Genomic DNA, 19900 nt, shown 5'->3' on the forward strand with positions numbered 1-19900 from the left:
TACAGTGGTGCAATCGTGTCTCACTGCAGACTTGACCTCCTGGATTTAAGCGATCCTCCCACTTTGCCCTTTTGAGTAGCTGGAGCCACAGGCACGCATCACCATGACAGGCTAATTTTTTTTTTTAATTAGTTTTTTGTAGCGATTGGGTCCCTATGTTGCCCAGGCTGGTTTTGAACTCCTGGGATCAAGAAATTCTTCTGCCTCCACCTCTCAAAGTGCTGGTATTACAGGCTTGAACCACCATGTCAGGCCTATAAATTATTTTTTAATGTGTAGGGTGATGACAGAACAGGTTTATTTCCTTCATTGGTGCACATCATTTATATTTACTTATAGTAAGACAGTGCTATTAGTAATACAGCATTCTTTAAAAAAATAAAATGTTGATGAAATTGTTACATTGCTTCAGTTATATGATTAGATCTAAACCAGCTTTCATTATATTTCATGCAAAATATATTATATACCATGCATGGTATTTTTTCACATAGTATTTATGTTGCATGAAAAATACCATGCATGATCTCTGGAACCTGGGAGACTGCAGTAACCCTCTATGTTTCTAAAATATTTTTAAATGATTTATTAATAACTCAAGATATTTCTGCCTACCAAGCTCTTTTTTTCCTCTGTTTATATTCCATTTTTAATAATCTCACATTTCTAGGAAAATTAGGTGATATTACATTTGTATATCTTATGATGAGAATGATTGACAATATTTTAAGGTTGTATTCCAAAGAAAAATCTAATAATCTAAATAATTATAATTACAGCCACTAATTCAGATTTATTAGAGATCAAATGTGTAACCAAATTTGCAGAGAAATAGAAAATATTAGTACGTGACTGTATTTGTTTAGCTTTTAAATTTGAAATCAATTACCCATAGTATTTTATTACAAGTGAATTAATGATATTTATGAATGCATACATTCATTAATTTAGCACTTAAACGCTAAACATTCACATCTCCCAAATTATTTATTTTGGTTACATTTTCTTTTTAAAATAAATAATTACTCCTATATCTTTTTATTCAAACTTAGATCCTCATTAAAAACAAACTTTGAAACTCTTGTTTTTGTTATACTCTTGTTTTTATCAGTAAATATATAGAAATATTTCTATCTGTTTGCATGTTACATGCTCACATGCCATATTAGCCCTTAATGGGCTATCATTGACCTAACAAATCACCCAATACTGTCTACCTGGATTAAGACCAGCATCTATAGAAGCCTTGATAAAATGACCCTCTCTTCTCAGTCCTTTTATATATCAAAACCACATAGACTTCCCAGAAATGTTACAGATAAATAAAGAGGCCATAACACTGTTTTAGAGAAACTGATATTCAATTAGTCAGGGCTTCTTCCAATATATAATGTTAAATTTGACAGCAATGTATTTATATCTGTTAATAATTTAACCAATCTTAGAACTCCACTGAAATTACTTTTTTTAAAAAAAATTTACCTTTATTGAGGCATAATTGACAAACATTATTCAATGTGCATAAAGTGATGTTTTGATATATGTATACATTGTAAAATGATTTCCACAGTCAAGCTAATTAACATATCCATATACTTAAGACTAGCCGGGCATGGTGGCAAGCGCCTGTAATCCCAGCTACTTGGGAGGCTGAGGCAGGAGAATCGCTTGAACCTGGGAGGTGGAGGTTACAGTGAACCAAGATTGCGCCACTGCACTCCAGCCTGGGCAACAGAGCAAGACTCCATCTCAAAAATAAATAAATAAATATAAATAAAAAGATTTACTGTTAGCAAATTTCAAGTATACATTATTATTAACTATAGTCACCATACTATACATTAGGTCTCCAGAACTTATGCATCTTATAACTGCAATTTTGTACTCTTAGGCCAACATCTTCTCCCATTTCCCCCACCCCTCGATTCCCTGGTATCGACCCTTCTATTCACTCTTCTGTATGTTCAACTTATTTAGATTCCACATGAGAATGAGATAATTCAGCATTTGTTTTTCTGCGACTTGCTTATTTTCTTTAGCGCAATGTCCTCCAAGTTTATATATGTCTCAAATATAACAAAACTTCCTTCTTTTTTTAAAGACTGAATGACAGTCTCTTGTATGTGTGTATGTGTGTATCGCAGTTATTTTAAAGGACGTGCATAACTCAGAAATGCACATTCCATAGTGCTTCTCAAACTGAGCAAGTATAAGAATCACCTGGGAATCTTATTAAAACACAGATTCCTGGGGCCAGCCTACAAAGATTCTGATTACGACTGAGTTCACAGCCAGGGTGAGGACCCCCATAATTTGTATTCCTAACAAGGTGCTGGGTGGTGTTGATGGTCATTTGGAGCAACTAGAAGTCTGCATTCTCAGTTTAATTTGTCTTGTTCCTTAAATTAATTTGGCACTAATCTTTGTTAATCAGTCTTTTCCCTTCCCACACCTCTCCGTTACTTTAAAGAGCATCTCCTTTGACTTTAGATTTTATTTTAAAATGTCCTGGGAGCTACTGTTCACATGTTATTCCTGTACCCAGGAGATGACCTTAAATATTTGTGCTTATCATTTCATTTCAAGAAACACTAACATTCAGGCAAGTTTAAATGATGTATGTCTTGGTTTATTGTCCCCTACGTCCTATTGTCCAAGGCCCTGTTGGAGTTATAAACAATTTTATTTCAGCACCACAAGAAAAACTTGCTGTTTTAGGTTTTAATGTTTATGTGCCACAGTCCAAGAGAAATTATTTTTTCTGATAATGCCTTTGAACTTCAAAAGCCCTGTTCCTTTAATAAACTTTTTAGAATGAAATTATGCAATATTCATCTTCTAGTCATTAAGTTCTATGAGATCATGTTCCATAAATTTAACATTTCATAGTATTAAGGTTGGTTCCCAGCCTATCTCTAAATATCTTTTCCTTGTTTATTGCAGTATTTTAGCACTTGATAGCAGATAATAATAGCAGACGTCAACATTCTACAAATCATTTCTAGGATGAAAACATTTTTAATAATATAAAACCAGTATTCCCTGAGCATCTGGCACCAGAATTTCTCTTAGAAAGCAAAAGGTGTTTTTCTGGAAACAATCGTGGTAAGTCATTGGAGATTGAAAGTGACACACTGATAGAGTCCAAGAAACAACAATAAAAGGCATTTTTTTTTTTTGCTTACTCTATACAAAGCAAGTGCTTATCCATATTAACAAAGTTAATTATCATAACTACTTTATGTGGCATGAATTCTATAATCCTTCATTTTCTAGATCATAAAACTGAAGTATAGGGAGGTTAAGTGACTTAACCAAAGTACTGCAGGTGTAAGTGGCAAAGCTGGGATTTGAACCAACTCCTCAGTCCAAATATTCATCAGCATACAATGCTCCTTTATCTGATAACATAAGAACAGTTTTGCAGGTGTTTGCTGTCGGTGGTTGGTTGGTTGGCTGGTTGACTGAAAAAGAAAATGTGGGAGTGGGTGAAGTGAGAAGAGAAAAAGGGAACCAGAGATGCCAAAAAGCTGGAGGATGATGAGGTAAGGTCTCTATTTTTAGTGGCAGAATGACTGTAGAAAAGTGTTTAATATGAAATAGATGCAGGACTTTTCTTGGCCCCTTTGCCAGATTCACAGCAGGGGCAACCCTTCTACTCCGCCTGCTCAACCCCATTGCGGGAAGGAGAACTCCCTTGCAGGAATTGACTGCAGGATCCAGCCAGAAGCTCCCGGCGCCAACTCAGGAGCCAGTTCCAGGCAGGGCCATGGCAAGGCTAGGTGTGTCACCTCGAGGGGAATGCGGCGGCACCCAGGTGAATGTACCTATGACCCTGAAGTCTCGGAGGGGATGTGACAGTGCTCCTTTAGATCCACCGTCTGCAGACAGCAGTGTGTAAGCAGCTCAGTTGGCCCCTTGCCTCGTTGCATGGGGTGGCTGCCCTCCACTGGCGAGGGCAAAGGGCTGATGTGATGGCCTTTCTGGGTACCCACACTCGGTGGGTCCCGAGCTCTAGTCAGTGTCCAAGAAGAGTGAGGTCACATAGATGGAGAAGGCAGAGAACTTTATTGAGTAATGAAAATGGCTCTCAGTGGAGAGGGGAGCTGGGGAGGGGATGGGAAGGGCTGGTTGTCTCCTCCTCTGCCAGCTAAGTCTAGGCACAGGATGGGGAGTGACTGCTGATTGCTTTGTGAGTATACAAAAAGTGTTAAAGCAAAGACACCACTCAAAGGTGGGCACAACATTGTAGAAAACCAATTAGGAAAGGGTAGGTATAAGTAAAACAGGTGAAGGGTGGGGATCAATCACAGGGAAGCGTGCCTAACAGGAAGACAAGTTCTCAACCCGGTCTGAGGATTATTTAACCTGTAGCTTGGATTTCAGGCTTTAAACTCTCTTCCCCTTGGAGGTGGGATTTCACTGGGTACCTGCCTCTATCTGCCTAAGCATTTGGCTGCTTCCTGTCATTATCAAAATGAGACATTATTTTGCTGAGCAGTGCACATTGTGGCCTCTCCTGATGACTCCCCAAATCAGCAATCTTGTAAAAATCAGTGACAGGGCAGAGTTTCACATCTGGGTTAATGTTGAATGTTGTACAGAACAGAGATTTCATGGGGTGGGGCTGTGGGAGCAGAAATAGAGGTGATCAGCAGATCAGAAGCCCAGGTAGGCTCAAGAAATCTTGGGTCAGGTTTTGGACTTTCAAGCTATAGAACAGTGGTTAAAATAATGTTTTCTAAATATTGAGAGGAAGGGAGCTCCCAGCTAATATGTGTATTTCATTTTATGATTAAATTATTGTGTTTTCTCTACTGTAAACTAAGGGGGAACTCTTATTATCTAATTTTAACGATAGAGCACCATGCCCAGCTTGAGGAATACCATAGGTACTTATTTTAATTATAATAAAGTATATGAATACTTTTATAGTTAAGGTAAGAATAATAAACAAGAATATTTTCAAAGATCTTCCTTTATCTGTGGGCAATTAAGTTTTACTTGGGTAGATCATTCCTGTTTTAGTTTACTTTCAATCTTTAGGATATCTTGAATAATTGTAAAGATATCTTTTCATGACATGTAACATAAACAAATCTTTTTTCTTCATATGTAAAGCCAAGATTTTCCTTTCTTACTCATACATGTGGCACCACAGCCCAAATCAGGACAGGCTGGTTGAACAACGGACATTCCCAGGCTGATGACCTGATTTACTCTGTGCATTGGCTGTTATTGTGCATCTGAGGCCATCTGGGCTCCTGAGGGTTCCCAGGCAGAAATTTAGCAGGTGGGGCCTCCTGGTAGAGTCGATGAGAGCACTAATAAGCTTGTCTCAGCTGGATGATACTCTTTGCATATCTTTGCATTTCCTTGTTCTTACAGGGAACTGCCTTCAGGAGAAAATTCACCCAGGTCACCAATTACCGTGCTCCCCAGTTGGTTTGTGAATGCTTCAGCAGACTTATTTGTTGCACACAACTAACTTTTTTTGTTACATACCCTTAGTTTTCACACATTAAAAAATACACTAAGAAACTTAACTCTTTGAAAGAGGACATTTTCATTCATTTCTTAGTTTGTTAATTCAACAATCAATAAACTTTTATTGAAGATTCAATATGCTCATCATCTTATGCTAGGCATTTTAGAGTGGAAGATATAATAGCATATTAAAGATCTTCTATGTGACAGCCAATGTCCTAAGTGTTTAAATCCACAATAATGTTTAACTTTTATCACAACCATATAAGATAAATACCTGACACGCAAGTTGGGAAGTTGAGGCTCAGAGAAGTTCAGAATTTTGCTCCAGTTTATACAGCATCTAAGTTGCAAAACTCAGTATCACCTCTGGTTCAGGCGACTCCAAGGCCCATTTTTAAAAAAATTTGTGCCAGTTATAAATGGTTCTGGCTCTCAAAAAGCCCATGGTTTAGTGATATATGGAACTCAACATAAGAAAAATCAGTATATATTATGTGTTATAATAACGGCATGATCAAGGTCCGTGAACAAAACAAATATAAATAATTCCATATTGTGCGCTTTTCACTGGGGATGCTAGAAATTGCTCCCGGTTTTTCAGCCAAGATAAAATCAGCATTCCAAGCAGAGTGAACACTAAACAAACAGACAAAAATCAGAAGCAAGAAAGTGCAATGGTAGCTTTGGGGCAGCCTCTAGAGCTCGCTAATGGAAAAGAATAAAGGGTTGAGTATGACACCTGGAAATAAGACTTGAGGTAAAATCAAGAAATGCCTTGACTTTCACAGTTATGATCAGAAAACATCAATGTATAGTGGTTACCAGACATGAGCACTAAGGAAAACTCAACCTTTAATGCAGTTTCTTACCTCAGTGTACAAATTATCTATTGACAGAGACCACCCAGGTTCCAAGGATTTCTTCTATCTTGTGCAACTTCTCCAGTTAACATAGACTAGATTTCACTACATCACTTGGACATGACCATATTATTCTAGATCATGAGGTATAACAAGCCACAACAATACACTTGTACTCCCCTCAGTTTCAAAATTTATGTTACCTTAGTGGTGGTTGAGATAATGTTCAATTTCCTTTGAGAAATATGTAGAAAAGCAACACTCCTAAAACAGAGCCTTTTTCAGCCTTCTGATTCTATTCTCACATATTGCAGGGTAAAGAGGAAAGAAAAAGAAGGATGGTCAGATAGATGAGTGAGTTCTCTGGTACATGTAAATATTCAGGTGACTGTGTGTGAGACAGAGAGGCAGAGACATAGAGAGTGAGTGCAGGTGTGGTTTCCCTTCTCAACCTGTATTTTGTAAGTATGCTAAGTACATCCATTATAGAATAATCAGTATTTTACTCTTTTAGTGAAGCCTTTAAGTTAATCTTTATGTCCAAATACATAATTATATGGTGAGAGTGGAGGTAAGAAAAATTATAGTTTTAAAACTAAACACGTATTATATAGGTAACAAAAATTAGAATTTTAAAACTAAACATGTATTATATAGGTCTTGAAATAACTCATTAAAGTTTTTGATTGTTCTTTCTTCAGATACATTCCATGTTCCTGGTTGTTTTGAAATGTTCTGACTTTTTAAAATTATACTTTAAGTTCTGGGTTACATCTACAGAACGTGCAGGTTTGTCACATAGGTATACACGTGCCATGGTGGTTTGCTGTACCCATCAACCCGTCACCTACATTAGGTATTTCTCCTAATGTTATCCCTCCCCTAGCCCCCACCACCTACTCCAGGCCCTGGAGTGTGATGTTCCCCTCCCTGTGTCCATGTGTTCTCGTTTTTCAGCTCCCACTTATGAGTGAGAATATGTGGTGTTTGGTTTTCTGATCTTGTGATAATTTGCTGACAACGATGGTTTCCAGCTTCACCCATGTCCCTGAAAAGGACATGAACTCACCCTTTTTTATGGCTGCATAGTATTCCATGGAGTATATGTGCCACATTTTCTGCATCCAGTCTATCATTGATGGACAATTGCGTTGGTTCCAAGTCTTTGCTATTGTGAATAGTGTTGCAATAAACATACGTCTGCATGTGTCTTTATCGTAGAACGATTTGTAATCCTTTGGGTATATGCCCAGTAATGGGATTGCTGGGTCAAACGGTAGTTCTAGTTCTAGATCCTCGAGAAATCACCACACTGCCTTCCACAATGGTTGAACTAATTTACACTCCCAACAGTGTAAAAGCATTCCTATTTTTCCACAACCTCTCCAGCATCTGTTGTTTCCTGACTCTTTAATGATCACCATTCTAACTGGCGTGAGATGGTATCTCATTGTGGTTTTGATTTGCATTTCTCTAATGACCAGTGATGATGAGCATTTTTTCATGTCTGTTGGCTGCACAAATGTCTTCATTTGAGAAGTGTCTGTTCATTTCCTTTGCCCATATTTTGATGGGGTTGTTTACTTTTTTCTTGTAAATTTAAGTTCTTTGTAGATTCTGGATATTAGCCCTTTGTCAGATGGATAGATTGCAAAAATGTTCTCCCATTCTGTAGGTTCCCTGTTCACTGTGATGATAGTTTCTTTTACTGTGCACTTCTTTAGTTTAATTACATCCCATTTGTCAATTTTGGCTTTTGTTGCCGTTGCTTTTGGTGTTTTAGTCATGAAGTCTTTGCCCATGGCTATGTCCTGTATGGTATTGCCCAGGTTTTCTTCTAGGATTTTTATGGTCCTTGGTCTTATGATTAAGTCTTTGATCCATCTTGAGTTGATTTTTGTATAAGGTGTAAGCAACGGGTCCAATTTCAGTTTTCTGCATATGGCTAGCCAATTTTCCCAACACCATTTATTAAATAGGGAATCTTTTCCCCATTGCTTGTATGTGTCATGTTTGCCAAAGATCAGATGGTGGAAGATGTGTGGTGTTATTTCTGAGGCCTCCATTCTGTTCCATTGGTCTATATATCTGTTTTGGTACCAGTACCATGCTGTTTTGGTTACTGTAGCCTTGTAGTAAAGAAATGAAGGCAGAGGCTGGGCGCGGTGGCTCACTCCTGCAATCCCAGCACTTTGGGAGGCTGAGGCAGGCGGATAACGAGGTCAGGAGATCGAGACCATCCTGGCTAACACAGTGAAACCCCGTCTCTACTAAAAATACAAAAATTTAGCCGGGCATGGTGGCGGGTGCCTGTAGTCCCAGCCACTCAGGAGGCTGAGGCAGGAGAATGGTGTGAACCTGGGAGGCGGAGCTTGCAGTGAGCAGAGATTGCACCATTGCACTCCAACCTGGGTAACAGGGCAAGATTCCATCTCAAAAAAAAAAAAAAGAAAAGAAAAGAAAAAAAAGAAATGAAGGCAGAAATAAAGATATTCTCTGAAACCAGTGAGAACAAAGACACAACATACCAGAATCTCTGGGACACATTCAAAGCAGTGTGTAGTGGGAAATTTATAGCACTAAATGCCCGCAGGAGAAAGCAGGAAAGATCTAAAATAGACACCCTAACATCACAATTAAAAGAGCTAGAGAAGCAAGAGCAAACAAATTCAAAAGCTAACAGCAGGCAAGAAATAACTAAGATCAGAGCAGATCTGAAGGACACAGAGACACAAAAAACCTTCAAAAAAATCCATGAATTCAGCAGCTGTTTTTTTGAAAAGATCAACAAAATTGACAGACCGCTAGCAAGACTAATAAAGAAGAAAAGAGAGAAGAATCAAATAGACGCAATAAAAAATGATAAAGGGGATATCACCACCGATCCCACAGAAATACAAACTACTATCAAAGAATACTATAAACACCTCTACGCAAATAAACTAGAAATCTAAAAGAAATGGATAAATTCCTGGACACATATACCCTCCCAAGACTAAACCAGGAGGAAGTTGAGTCTCTTTTTTTTTTTTTTTTTTTTTTTGAGACGGAGTCTCGCTCTGTCGCCCAGGCCGGACTGCGGACTGCAGTGGCGCAATCTCGGCTCACTGCAAGCTCCGCTTCCCGGGTTCACGCCATTCTCCTGCCTCAGCCTCCCGAGTAGCTGGGACTACAGGCGCCCGCCACCGCGCCCGGCTAATTTTTTGTATTTTTAGTAGAGACGGGGTTTCACCTTGTTAGCCAGGATGGTCTCGATCTCCTGACCTCATGATCCACCCGCCTCGGCCTCCCAAAGTGCTGGGATTACAGGCGTGAGCCACCGCGCCCGGCCGAAGTTGAGTCTCTTAATAGACCAATAACATGTTCTGAAATTCAGGCAATAATTAATAGCCTACCAATCAAAAAAAAAGTCCAGGACCAGAAGGATTCACAGCCGAATTCTACCACAGGTACAAAGAGGAGCTGGTACCACTCCTTCTGAAACTAAAGAGGGAATCCTCCCTAACTCATTTTATAAGGCCAGCATCATCCTGATACCAAAGACTGGCAGAGACACAACAAAAAAAGAGAATTTTAGGCCAATATCCCTGATGAACATGGATGCGAAAATCCTCAATAAACTACTGGTCAACCAAATCCAGCAGCACATCAAAAAGCTTATCCACCACGATCAAGATGGCTTTATCCCTGGGATGCAAGGCTGGTTCAACATACGCAAATCAATAAATGTAATCCATCTCTTAAACAGAACCAATGACAAAAACCACATGATTATCTCAACAGATGCAGAAAAGTCTTCGACAAAATTCAACAGCCTTTCATGGTAAAAACTCTTAACAAACTAGGTATCGATGGAACATATCTCAAAATAATAACAGCTATTTATGACAAACCCACAGCCAATATCATACTGAATAGGCTGTATATTTCCAGTGGAATATGGGTAAGAAAATGGTTTTTACACGTGCTATCTCTTCATTTTGGAATTTTAAGATTTTGTCTTCCAAAATCAATGTCTTTCTGTCTTGTTGAATCCTACCATTTGGCACAGACTGAGTGGTCTTTTTTCTTCAGGGGCAGGGGCCAAGATAGGAGATGGGTAATCTGAAGTTTCCTGTGTTTTCCTGTGTGCAAAACTCATAAACAGCCAAAATAATTGTATACTGTTATTGTATGATCTGTCTTTAGCCCTCTCCTGAGGAAAGGCTATTTCAAATGCAGCCATCTTGAAGATTGTGAGTTCTATTTTTCCCCAGCAAAGAGAAGTTAATCATAGTAAATGCGATGCTTTCCTTTCTAAGCATTTGTGGACCATACACTGATAGGTATTTTGCTGAATTTGCTATGACAATAGCAATGTATTACATCTAGACCCTTGTGCACAGATAATATCAGAAGCTTTGTGCCAATAGGATAAACCACATCAGGATGGAGAGCTAAGTTGATATCGGTTTCCACATTTTGTTTTAACGTCCTGCTGAAATGTCTCTGAAGCTTCACAAGAGAGTTTGCTTTGATCAACATTCCTCAACCTTCAAAGGAATCTTGGAAGTGTTTGTGAGACAGCTGTTTGCTGAAATAACCTTAATTGCTTGTACTAAGAATTATCACTGCATGCCTCATAGATTTGTGAGAAGTCTGTAAAAAAACTGCTGACATTGGCACCAAAGTTCATCTACCTTCAATCTACAAAGTACCCCCCTCACTATTTTTAATGAGTGGTACCTCATCTCATTGTGCACACATATGTGCCCAAATATAAGTCATTGGTGATACTATTTTCTTATTTTTAATTTTTATACAATGTTTCTAGTACAAAAGTAATGCATGCTCGATTATAGAAAATTTGAAAATTCAAAAATATGAGAAGAAAAAATATCCTCTCTGAAACCACCATTAAAATAAAAAAAAAGTCTTTCTAGTAATTTGTAATATGAACAGGGTTTTGGTTTTTATATTGTTAAATATAGTCATAATAAAAACTATCCAGAATAGAGTGTCCTGGTTTATTTTTAAGTAATCACATAATGTATGCCTTTTAACAGCAAAGAAAAAAAAATCCATCCCATTGGCTTTCTGACTAAAGTTCCCCTTATTCCATTAACAGACTTATATAGTCATGTTGAGTTCCCCAAACATTACCATTACCCCCTGTAGTGGAAAAGGAAAAAAGCCAAGTTAAACAGTTGGACACTTGAGGAATTGTTGGTTTGGAACACATAAAAATCAACTTCTGAATTGCAGTTTCTTTATTATTTGACAAAAGAACACGCTGGCCTTTAAAGTATTCTGAACATTGCACTGCGTACAGAGAAAGTGAGTTTTACAGTCACCATTGGACTGCTCATAGAGGCCAGATTTTTGAGGTGCTGGGGGAAATAATTAGCACCCTCCAGGGATGGACTATGGGATAGTAATAGAGAAATCAAAAGCCATACAAAGGAATTGGAAGATATAAAAGTCAGACAGTTTTAAGAAGATTTTTAAACATAACAGTGAATGAAAAAGACAATAACAGGAGGAAGACAGAAATCTAATATTTTTATTTGATACTTGGGCCAGACATCGTGGTAGGCACTTTCCAAATGTCACCTTATTTAATTTTCACAACCATGTGATGACATGGAGCAATACATTGAAGCAAAGGATATTAACTAACATAACCATTTCTTATAGTCAGTGATGACAGAAAGCTATCTAGTAGACTTTTGAAGCAAATCAAATCAGAAAAAGATTTTGGAGAGATTTTGCACAGATAATCAATTGCCCAATGGGTTATTCTTGCCCACTCCCCAAAGAGAGCTCATTTATCAAGGCAGGGGAATTACAATTGTGAAAGAGTTTTACACAAATAGGGCCAGCTAAATGGGAGATTGGAGTTTTATTATTATTCAAATTAGCCTCCCCAAGAACTTGGAGGCTAGGGTTTTTCAAACAAAGTTTAGGAGATGAGAGGAGGGGTGGCTAGGCAAGGGGTGCTTGCTGCTGACTGGTAGACGGTACAATCACAGGGGTGTGGGAAAAGGTCCTCTTGCAAGCTAAGTCACTTCTGGGTGGGGCCACAGGAGTGGTTGGTGGGTCCAAGTGTGGCTATTAGACTTTTAGTATAAGAAGTAACATTAGAGGCTGAGTGTGGTAGCTCACACGTGTAATCCCAGCACTTAGGGAGGCAGATGTGGGTGGATCACAAAGTCAGGAGTTCGAAACCAGCCTGGCCAATATGGTGAAACCCCGTCTCTAGTAAAAATACAAAAATGAGCCAGGAGTGGTGGTGCAAGCCTGTAGTCCCAGCTACTCAGGAGGCTGAGGCAGGAGAATCGCTTGAACCTAGGAGGTGGAGGTTGCAGTGAGCGGAGATCATGCCACTGCACTCCAGCCTGGGTGACAGAGCGAGACTCCATCTCAGGAAAAAAAAAAAAAGAAGAAGAAGAAGTAACGTGAGAAATAAAACCAGAAGTCAGAATTCAAACTTATTCACACTGTCAATACAGTGTTACAGACAAAATGCTTACAAATAGAATCTGGTATGATTTCATTATCTAAGATAACATATGGAAGTTATGTGTTTTTTAAAGTGTTGATTTGAAGGTATAATCTAAAACATTCCAAACATCAAGTCATGAAAGCAGTTTTTATCTGTTTTGTAAAAAAAAAATATATATATATATATATAGTCTATACACCAAAAATTATAATATATTCATTTAAATTTCTTTGACATCAATAATACTTTTTCTTATATATTTATTTAACATACTTTAACAAATTGAAGACATTTTTTGTTATAAGTATGACTGCATATTACATTTAATTAACTTTATTGCATTAAATACTATCCTGATATGAAATAAAATACTTGGTTTATAATGTCTTCTTATAGCCCAAACTGAAAGCTTGAAATTAATTAGAAATTTCTATAACTGTTCATTAGATTTTATATCACTATGGAAGAATTTAGCAAGTTAAAAAAAATACACAGACAAAACAAAAACAACAAAAACAGAGGGTGAGAAATGCTGGATTGGAGGCTCTCCAAGGCCTTCCTATTCTGAAATGCCATCATGTGCAGATTCTCATCTTTCCTACACCCACTAACTGAAGGCATTGACAGAAAGAAATGAAAAAGGGAAGATATGTAATTACCCTGGTGGATCGATTCACTCATAAGGTATAAATCAAAAGGAAATGCCTGGATTATTTTTAAGAAAATCTGTGTACTCCAAACTGCAGATGAACCTTCTTGAACAAAACAATATAATACAACAAAATGCTAAGCTCATTAGTTATGCATAAATACTAGTTCTTAAAACAATTTTAACTATCAGAACTTTAAATTTGCCAGAGATCAACATGTTCTGCCAATGTTGGCTAGTTAACAAAGTTAATATGTTTAGCATCTAGTAAATCCGAAATGGCATAAAATGACTGATGTATGAATTGAGTATGACCCCTGGTCTTCCTCTGGATTGAAATTCCTCTTGCATTTTCGAGAAATTAGTAAAGTGTGCTAGGTAAGTAATTAATGCACTTTGGTGTGAGAATTTGGAAAATTATTGAAAAATATATTAAAGGGTTGAATTCTGCATTATCTCAAATTAGCTAATCTAGTTTTTTGGCACAAAATAAGCAGCCTGCTTTGTACACATTTGGAAGGTTTTAAAAACAAATCAATATAGCCATACACTCAGGACTATGCTAAACAGAGCTGCTGATACCCGCAGTGCTCCTCCACAGTGGGCCCATTGTGGAGAGCTGCCACATTCAAAACACCTTCCAGCTGTTGGAGGAAACCACAAGAGGGGTGAGGACAGACGCAGACACCCTCCATCAGATAATTACCTTGATTAAGATTCTCTGAATTAAACGGAGTTTAATCAAGGACCCTGTGAAATTGTGAAAACGCCAGCTTTCTGTGCTTGCCCTCCTTTTCTACAGATGGTGAGTTGCCAAACAAAATCAAAGGAGTCTTAATTACAAGGATGAGAGGCAAAGTCAAAGGGAATGAATCTGTGCTTTGTGATGGAGATGGACCAGCACCAATCAGCAGCAAACTCAGCTCTCGTCTGCATGGAGAGTGCGACAATGCATCAAAGCTGAACACACTATCAACATCCTTGACAATTCAAAGGACTGAATTAATAGCCATGACAATGTATCTAAGGTAGTAGTTAACATTGACTCTTCATATGATATAATAATATATGTGACCTTTTATGGCAACATTTGGACTGACATTAGAAAAAACAACCATGCCACTTCAGCTGTTACTAAGAAAGCATGGCCCAGTTTGAATCTAAACTAAACCATTACTGAAAGTAAACTCCCTTTTAAATGAAAAAATTAAAAGAGCAATGACACAGGGAGGTCAATTTTTTTTTCAGTTTTTCTGCTTCCTCTTATTTTGAATTTGGACTATAAATAGAAGTAATTATAAAAATCATCCATTCCATGACATGAGTTGATACCACCTAGCATCTACTCACTGCAACACTAATATCCTTTACATGCATACTATCAGACTTTCTCCACTGTATTATATGTCTGATCTTTTTGACATCCAACACCTTTTACTTCTTTCTTAAGTTTTTATTTATTTAAGTTCATATTTATTTCTATTAGTTTTTTAAATAAAACTTGGTCCATTATTACAAGTAACGTCAATGAATTATCACCTAGTAGTGCTAATTAATTGGGTGGAACCACCACTTCAAAAGGAGTGGAATATTATAAAAATCATTGTATCCCCTCCCCTAATCATACTTACAATCATATATCTTCTAACATAAATGTCATGTATTTTGTAATGTTTTCTAAATTAAACATATATCTAGCTTCTCTGATATTACAAGTCACAAATGCAAGTGGTTCATGGAAAATCTGTTTCCCTGTAAGTTTTCCTCTTTTCAAAGGAAATCTACAATTTCTATTTCTAGGAGCTTGCATTTTTAAATTATTTTGTTTAGCCCTTCAAAGATTTCCTTTCAACTATTATTTATATATCCCCTTCCCTTTGAGATCTAAAAGTTTATTTTGTCTTTTTCTCAGGTTCTGTACCATCGCCCTTCTGTATTCTGAAATCTTATGAGTGATAGATTCTTATATCTTGGGCATCTTATTCTTGTGATTTATTTTTACATGCATATATCTTGTTTTTCCTGCAAGCCCATCTCTACACAGCATTTTTGCAATTCTTACTTATTCTTAGTTTGCTTTCCTTCAATCTTTTCTTCTTATATAATTTGCTATCATATTTTCCCAAAATTCCTTTTGAAGTAACTTCTTACAGTATTTTCTTAATATTAGCAAGAAAGAGACCTTCCTCTAATCATACAAACATGTTACATGTTTGACTGGGTCTTTTCCACACCTTGAAAGATGCACCAATTGAGTGATTTGTTTCCTCTTCTGCATACTGAATACCATAAGCACTTTTCATCACACTTTAAACAAGAGCTATGTATCCTTTTATTACACACTCAAATTTTCCCAACTGCATATTAAATCCAGCACAATGCATACAATATATCAACATATGAGAAGTAGCATGACATCAGTTTAGAAGTAAAGAAACATACATTTTAGCACTAATTCAATCACTAATTTTCTTTGGACAATTTAATTGTCCAGACTTTGGACAATTTAATAAGTTACTATGAATCAGTTTTTGTTTTGGTTTGGTTTGGCTTGGTTTCATATTCACTAAGGAACACAGTTACTATAATTTGGATACGGTTTGTTTGTCCTTTCCAAATCTCATGTTCATATTTGATCCCTGATGTTGGAGGTGGGGTCTAACGGGAGGTGTTTGGGTTTTGACATGATGTTATCCGAAACCAGTCAAGTAAAACGATTGATTTGTTATAACACTTGGATTTTAAGTGAATATGTCATCCAATGTAGCCTTCAAAATTACTTTCAAAAAAATAAGCCTTCTAACTTTCCCTCTACAATTAGCTCCAAAGAAAAGGGATATTAATAAATTTTAAAACTGTTTAAAAATTTGCACATATCTTTTTAAATGTTGCTCTCTGTTTAATTTTTTACAACTTGAATTTTATGAAAATCTATTAGGGATTAATTTTTAAAACCTTCCTTTTATTTACTTTTAAACTGGATGGGAAACCATAGGAAATACAACTGCACTCTTATTAAAAACTAAAGCTGACCATATCAAGTATTACCAAACATGTGAGGAACTGAAATTCTCATTCACTGCTGGTGGGAATGTAAAATGGTAACCACTTTGGAAAACAGTTTGACAGTTTCTTACAGAATTAAACATGTGCCTGACATATGATCCAGCCACCTACTCCTACATATTAACTCAAGACAAAGCCTATGTCCACTTAAAGACTTGTCATTAATGTTCATAATAGTTTCATTTGTAATAGCCCAAAACGGAAAACCCAAATGTCCATCAAGAGGTTAACTCATAACAGATGAATGCTAAAAACACTGATATATATCATACAATGGAACACAACTCAGCAATACAAAGAAATGAACTACTCATACATGTGGCAACATTCTGAATCTCAAAATAATTATGCTGAGTAAAAAACCCAGACAAAACCCAGACAACAAAATCCATACTGTATAACGTCGTTTAAATTGTTATAGAAAATACAAACTATTCTATCATAAGAGAGAGTAGAACGCTGGTTGCCTGGGAAGGGCCATGTGGTGGTGTTCCAGGTAGTTATACAGGCATGAGCAGAGCAGGAGAGGGCTCTCCCACCCACTAGGAATGTCAGGTGATGGCTTGGCAATTATCACAATGCCTCACTAAAAGTGATAAGTTGGCAGCCAGCACCAGGGATAGGCCATTTCCTGATGGTTCACACCTGTTGCACTGAAGTGTTAATTGAATGCAGGCAACAGGGAGAAACAACTTCCTGGGCATGCCCATTAAGAGACAACATGGCAGAGTATGACTTTCTGGGGGAACTCCACAGGAAAAAGGAAGAAAGCCTCCGATGGGAATGCATACAACTTCCTAAACACACTGCATGTGCTCACTTCCCAGGGGTAGCAGGGGCACTGCACACGTGGGCAGCCCACCCTAAGGAAAGAATCGTGGGAAAGGGGCCAGCCTATAAAAGTCTTAGGATCGCTGTTAAACAGCACACTTGGCCTTCAGGTGCCTACTTGAGTCTCTTCCAAGTGAACTTTCCTTTCTTTCCTGTTCTAAAGCCTTTCTAAATAAACTTTTACTCCTACTCTGAAACTTGCCTTGGTCTCTTTTTCTGCCTTATGCCCATGAGTTGAATTATTTCTTCTGAGGAGGCAAGAACTGACGCTGCTACAGACCCTTACAGATTTGCCACCATAAACACTGATATTTGCCACTGGTAACAGAGGTTTAGGAAGTTGTATGCATTCCCATCTGAGGCTTTCTTCCCTTTTTCCTGTGGAGTTCCCCCAGAAAGTCATTTGCCCCTGGTAACAGAGGTACAAAAGTGAGCAAGGGAAACCTTGTGGGTGGTGAGCTATGTTCATCATTATCTTGATTGTGTTAATGGTGCTCATACGTCAAAATATGTCACACTGTACACTTTAAATATATGCACTTTACTGTATATCAGTTACATATTAATAAAACTGTTAAAGAACTGGAAGTGAAGAAACGTTATTCCACTTAACAGTTGGAAAATAAAATTTAACTTATGTATGGATGTCATAGTCTGAGATAGAAAAGGCAATTTTGTCTTCATGACTTTTATTGGATTTTGCAAAATATTCTAAGGTGAATAAAATTAGAATCATGATATCTGCTTCAATAATCACATTAATTTTTTTTTTTTTCAGAGAGATACAGGGTTTCACTCTGTTGCCCTGGCTACCTGGAGTACAGTGTTGCAATCACTCCTCCCTGCCGTCTCAACCTCCAGGACTTAAGTCACCCTCCTGCCTCAGCCTCCTGAGAAGCTGAGACTACAGGTACGCACCACACCACCATGTCTCAGCTAATTTTGTGTGTGTGTGTGTGTGTGTGTGTGTGTGTGTGGACATGGGGTCTCAAACTCCTGGTCTCAAGCTATCCTCCTGCCTCACTTCTCAGTGTTGGGATTACAGGTGTGAGCCACCCTACCCAGCCCTAATCACCATTTTTTTGAAGGTAAACAAACATTCCTTTCTGACCAAAGTGGTCATGGGCACAACACAAGCTGAGAACACTCAAACCAGTCAGTATAGAACGGGTCCCCACAGAGGTCAGCACTGGGAGTCCATTATCAGGAAATAAGGAGGAAACAAGAATCAGTAAAGCAAAGTGGCTGGGAGCATTATGTCTCCAGCAGCATGGTGTGTTCAGCAAGATATCCTAGGTTTCAATTCTAGCACTGTCACTCACTTGCACTATAACTTGGCAGATTAGGAAACTACTTCAATATTCAGTTAGCTTATCTGTAAAGCGGGGATGATAAGAGTACCTAGCACACAGAGCCGTAATGAGGAATAAACAAACTAACATGTGTAAAACACTTAGGTATTTAGCACTATAAAATGCTAGCTATTATTGGTAGTTCAGGGAACCTGATTAGCAGGCTATGAAACTATCAGTTAACTCTACACTAGATTTGAAATCTAAAATTTTAGGAATTGTTAAATGTAAATATTGAACTCTCCTTCAGATTTGTATGCTAATTAGTTAAAAATTATTTTTGGCTGGGCGTGGTGGCTCACACCTATAATTCCAGCACTTTGGGAGGCTGAGGTGGGTGGATCATTTGAGCTCAGGAGTTCAAGACCAGCCTGAGCAATACGATGAGACCTCGTCTCTTCAAAAAATTAAAAAAGAAAAAATAGCCCTGCATGAAGGCGTGCGCCTGCAGTCCCAGCTACTAGGGAGGCTGAGGTAGGAGTATCTCCTGAGCCCAGGGAGGTCAAAGCTACAGTGAGCTGTGATCACACCACTGTACTCCAACCTGTGACAGAGCAAGACCCAGTCTAAAAAAAAAAAAAAAACTTTACTCTTATCTAAAAAAAATACTGTTTTGAAAGATGTTGCACTTAATATTTATTTGAGGTACTTCTTCTTTTGAATTTATACATCTGTGTTATATCCATCTCTATTGCCATCTTCTCCCAACCTCTGAGTGTTGGAGTTTCTGGGGCCAATTTAATATTACTGAGAGTTTAGGTAGTTTTGCAGAGCATATGAACCATATCCCAAAGGCAAGCTTTCGAAAGCACCATAGAACAAAATCATGAACAACATACTAAGCCAATCATAATTCTGATTAATTGGTACTTTGGACAAGGAAAGAAACATATCTTGAGTTTAAATTATAAAAGTAATTACTAAAACAGACAAGTTTAGTTGGCCTAAGTATGTGTGCTGATAAACCTTAATAAATCAGACTCCTTCAATTCTTTCTCTACTTCTTGATTTTCAATTAAATAATTCTAGGAGCTCTGTTTCTTGATTTTATACTCTCATGGAACCATGACATAAAGTAATTCAGTGCAGATAAGAAACTAGGTTTAAAGTAACTTATATATAAAACTGTTCACAAAACCAACAACTATATAAAATAAGGTTTGTATTT

At 37.6% G+C, this 19900-nt stretch overlaps 2 annotated features.

The window, feature by feature from the left end:
• Positions 13763-14303: an enhancer, noted in NCBI's record as "OCT4-NANOG hESC enhancer chr9:23229614-23230154 (GRCh37/hg19 assembly coordinates)". NCBI's record gives its function as "activates a minimal SCP1, AML or CMV promoter by ChIP-STARR-seq in primed H9 embryonic stem cells {active_cell/tissue: H9 hESC(primed)}" and the evidence as "EXISTENCE:reporter gene assay evidence [ECO:0000049][PMID:30033119]".
• Positions 14304-14843: an enhancer, noted in NCBI's record as "OCT4-NANOG hESC enhancer chr9:23230155-23230694 (GRCh37/hg19 assembly coordinates)". NCBI's record gives its function as "activates a minimal SCP1, AML or CMV promoter by ChIP-STARR-seq in primed H9 embryonic stem cells {active_cell/tissue: H9 hESC(primed)}" and the evidence as "EXISTENCE:reporter gene assay evidence [ECO:0000049][PMID:30033119]".

This window comes from Homo sapiens, chromosome 9 (assembly GCF_000001405.40).
Source record: "Homo sapiens chromosome 9, GRCh38.p14 Primary Assembly".
Taxonomy (NCBI): domain Eukaryota; kingdom Metazoa; phylum Chordata; class Mammalia; order Primates; family Hominidae; genus Homo; species Homo sapiens.